The following is a 5,180-nucleotide window of genomic DNA, read 5'->3' as shown; positions in this document are numbered from 1 at the left end:
GTAAGTGATTGTATATAATCGGTTGAATCTTGAAAGGTACTGTAAGCTATGCGTTTAGTGTTCTGCATTTATAAATGTTACAGCCACACTTAGATTGTATCTACTCCTGTAATGAGAAGGCAAACTGTGAAAGAGCAATTTGACTAATTCAGTCAAAATTATCATATCAATCATGTGGATATTTCAGAGAAAAGTTTTAAGTGCCTGGATTATCAAAATAATTACTTTATTTATCCATTCCCTTTTCTCTGTGCATATGAAGAGATAATCTGATAGCCTATTTTTTTTCTTTTTAGGAAAAGATATTCATTTAATATTGGGAACTACCCAATATAATCTCTGAAAACCTTTCACAGTTTTGCATCTGGCTTCTTTTGATAAATATTATCTTCTCACTTTTATAGCAGTTTTTCCAAAGCAAAGAGCATCTTTTTCCGAACTTATTTGTCAGTATAATACAAATTAAAAATTGAAGCATAATATTGTAGATTCTTTTCTCACAATATTTCAAAAACAGCCTTGAATTGAATTGGATCATACTGGCTTACTCAACTCAGTTAAAACAAAAAAGAAACTAGATACTGACGGCAATTTTATTCGTCTCTCAAATTTACAATAACCTTAAATTATTTTGCTTGATTTGTTTTTACACCAATCATTTAGTTTAATTTATCACTATACAAAATCTGAATAGGTTATCAAAGTACTGAAATATATAATTCTCTTAGAAAACATGTGATTCTGAGATTGTACTTCTTTTTCCACCCAGTGAAAGATTTTGTTACAACCTGCAAGAGAATTTTCTTACCAAAAGATAGCAATGGGCTGACTAGTTAAAAATGCATCCATCTGTTGGTTTGCTTATTGCCTTGCTATCTGAAACATGCAGATCTGAGTGGGTTGCTTTATTTATGAAGACCCTCTAGCTGTGAGAGCTATGAATCCATAGCTTGCATTCATAAACATAATAAAGGTTAACATTACAATAAAAGTTACATACACAGAGTAGTCTGTGTTTTTTAATAAATTTGAGTTTTTAAACAAGTAATTTTAGAAAACAGACCTTTTTATATAAAATATAAAATAGGATTCAGCTATTCTCCTTATAGAATTTTTACAGAAAATAAGGGATTTACATACAAAAACATCAAGTTGCATATGACCTGGTTCAATTTTTACTTTCTTTATAAATAGTAGAAAATTACCTTGAAGTGATTGAATTTGAAACTTGATTCTTCCCCAAGGAAAATATGTGGAAATTGATAGAGCTAAGATTATGTTATTTTATTAGAGTTGAAAGGGACAATCAAGATGATCTAGATTAGAACATTAGGCTTAAAGAGATGCATCTACTTGTCCAACATCAAACAATACAGAATCTAGGGCTCTTGCCTTCTAATGTGGTATTCCTTTCATTATTTAACATGCTTTTGTAGTACCCTGAGCTAACTTGTTTGATTTCCATGTTCTGCTTTGTTATATTTTAAGCATAATACACTTTCTGTTAATTAAGATTGTATTGTCTTTGGAAGAGAGCAATTTTGACTGATGTCTGTATTTCAATGTAAATTTCAGATGTGAAAAGATGTGAAAAGAAGCTGTGGCTCACGCTGATAGCCAGGCAAAGAGACAGCTTGCACACATGTACACACATACACCCATGCATTCTGCAACAGGTAAAGTCTAACATAAAATACTAAATATAAAAACAAATTAATCTCTGAAAGAGACAGTGCATGGGAAGGAGATGATTCCCGATGGACTAACATTGCAGCCGTCTCTGGTAAGACTAATAACAATGTTGAGAAGATGGAACCTTTTTACACTGTTGGTGGGAATATAAATTAGTATAGCCATTATAGAAAACCGTATGGAAGTTCCTCACAAACTGCAATTAGAATTACCATGTTATCCAGAAATCCCACTTCTGGGTATTTATCCAAAAGGTTTGAAATCAGTATGTCTGCACTCCTATCTTCATTGCAACATTATTCACAATACCCAAGTTATGGAATCAACCTAAGTGTCCATCAATAGATGAATGGATAAAGAAAATGTGGCATGTATTCAGAATGAAATACTATTCAGCCCTTAAAAAGAAGGAAATTCTGTCATTTGCAACATTGTGGGTGGAATTGGAGAACATTATGCTAAGTAAAATAAGCCAGGCACAGAAAAACAAATACTGAATATTTTCATTCATAGGTGGAATCTAAAACAATCAAACTCATAGAAGCAAAGGGTAGCATGATGGTTACAGAGCCTGGGGGGTGGAGAGAATGAGAAAATGTTGAGACCAGGCGCGGTGGCTCACGCCTGTAATCACAGCACTTTAGGAGGCCAAGGCAGGTGGATCACTTGAGGCCAGGAGATCGAGACCAGCCTGGCCAACATGGTAAAACCCCGTCTCTACTAAAAATACAAAAATTAGCCAGGTGTGGTAGTGTGTGCCTGAGATCCCAGCTACTCTGGAGGTTGAGGCAGGGGAATCGCTTGAACCTGGGAGCCAGAGGTTGCAGTGATCTAAGATCGTGCCACTGCACTCCAGCCTGGGTGACAGAGCAAGACTCTGTATCAAAAAAAAAAAAAGAAAAGAAAGTGCTTGACAAAGGGTACAAAATCTCAGTTAGACAGGAGGAATAAGTGTTTTCTTTAATTGATTGCATAGCATGGTTAATATAATTAATAATAATGTATTGCACATTTTGAAATTACGACAAGAGTAAATTTCAAATGTTTTCATCCCAAAAAATGATAAGCATTTGAGCTGATAGATATGTTAATTAACTTAACTTAATTATTCCACATTGTATTCATAAGTCATAACATCACTTTGTACCCCATAAATATATACAATTATAAATTGTCAATTTATAATAAAAGAACAAAGAAAAAAGACTAATGACAAATGGGAACAGTACTCTTCAGTAGAAAAGTACTTGTGAGACTCTTTTAAAAAACTTTCAATTATATTAAATAATAAAAATGTATGGTTCTTTTTTTTAACGATTTACTGTAATTACCTGTGACTTCACCCATTGAATCACAAATTAAGGTGCAAAAATATTAACAGCAACCAATTATTTTGTGTCAAGCACTCTGTTTATGACTTTATATAGAGTGTCTCACTTAGTTCTTAAAACAGTCCTGAGTTAGTCACTATTGTTAGCCCCATTTTAGAGATGAAGAAACTGAAACTCTCATGTAGACATACATTTCCCTCCTAGAATGTAATAAAAGTAAAGAGAATTACTGTGTGCGAGATGAGAAGCAGAGAACATGAGAGCTGAGAAGAGCTGAATTCAAATGATCAATGAGGGTCTTCCAAATGATTGCCTCCCCTATTTTGGCCTTAAAGCACTGAAATCAAATGTGAGTCTCAATAAAGTTACAAATCACATGTCATGGGCAATCAAGGCTACTCTCAAATGGTCAAAACCGCCAACATTACATCTGTGTGTGAGTCTTCTATGCCATATCCAAGAAGAAATCAATTTTTAGATAATGCTTAATTCTGAGAATATTTTTAAAGTTCAGCCAATTTTAAATTATCTTTGATTCCTGGAAAAAGTGAGAACAAAGGTAAAAATGGAATAGCCCTAGCTTCTCTAAACCTCATTTTAACCACCAATTGGCTATTCAAAACCATCAAACTTTTAAGCACAGTTGCTAACAATCAGCTAAGCTATTTGTGTTTGTTTGGGGATTTATGCCTTTCCTCTCTTTGTTGGGGGCAAATAACCAGCTAGAAGCAGCAGCAAATGTCTGCAGCTTTGGAAAACAGTCCTCAAGCTCCTGAAACCCAAAGTTGACTGCAGAGACAATAGGAAATGTAATGAGATATCCTGTTTACAGAAGTGGGCACATTTGTCCAATATGATATAACACAAGTCCATTCACTTTCGTGTGGCAGCAAGCAAGTAACTTCATGAAAATCTAAATTTGTTCCTTCAATGGCTATAATGATTGGACCCCATAAAGAAAGTCAATGCAAATTCTATGTGAGCACAGAAAAAAAGTAAACCTCCCAAAGTTTTGGGAAATTTTTCACCATCAGCTACTTTAATTTTATTTCATGGATTAGTTACAGACTAATCATTTATGAAAATATATATAGGGAAATATCCCTCTATACTGTATACATTCAGAAACTTATTTTTATGATTATTATTTCCCAAATGAAATACACTGAACATACATTGAAAAAAAATATATGTATTCCACGGTAAAGAAAGAATTAAAGAGAAATTTAATAATATGGATTTAAAAAAGAAAATCAATAACTTATCTTGAGGCTTAAAGAGGCAATTGTATACAGGTGCTGACTTTAATTAAGTCTATTTTTTCTTTAATAACCAACATCCTTCCCCCTCCTTTATATAAATTGCTTTTATTCTGAGTTAGAAGCTAAGAAGTATTACTTAGCAGGCATATTCTTTGGAAATAATGAACCTCTGTGGCTTGCAGAGTATTTCTGGGTTTGTGTGAGTTTGTGCCTGTGTGTGCACATGTGTGATATTTGTACAGATAATCTCCGGGTACACTTTGTATTGAAATACACCAAACCAACCCAAATTGAATTCTAAAGACCAATATTATTCTTGGCTTTATCTTACTAAAGAAGACAACTTACTAAAAGCCAATATCTATCCATAACCAAGTATAATTTATTGGGAGTTTCCAGAGCTTTAAAATACTAATTCCGAGTACTATTTCATTTATTCTCAACAATTTCATCATTTTGAAAATTAATCAACCGTCAAAAAAGTTGAACACTAAATGATACTAGATTTAAATTCTGCATGTGTTTTATCAGAATACGAATAGCAAAACATATTACAGAATTATAAATATGTAAATTATCTTTGAAAAAGAATCTGTGTAAACTGAGTAATCAATAATATGGCTTTAATTTTAAATGTTAAAAGCTTTATCTTTGCCACACTTCAGTCGTGTGTGTGTGTGTGTGTGTGTGCACATAATTTCCCAGCCTTCTTGCCTTCTTTGCATTTCATAGCCTTTTCTATTTTTATACTAAGTATTAAAAAGAAGCACTGTTTTTAGAGATTATGTTCAGAAAAAAAATCACAAAATTATTTTCTTGGTAATTATTAGCTTTATGCTTAACAAGTTTAAGGCATTGGTGAATCAAACATTTGCCAAACATTCCCCATGGATTT

Source organism: Homo sapiens, chromosome 2, assembly GCF_000001405.40.
Source record: "Homo sapiens chromosome 2, GRCh38.p14 Primary Assembly".
Lineage (NCBI taxonomy): Eukaryota > Metazoa > Chordata > Mammalia > Primates > Hominidae > Homo > Homo sapiens.
The sequence above is the reverse complement of the archived record's forward strand: the minus strand, read 5'-3'. Positions refer to the sequence as shown.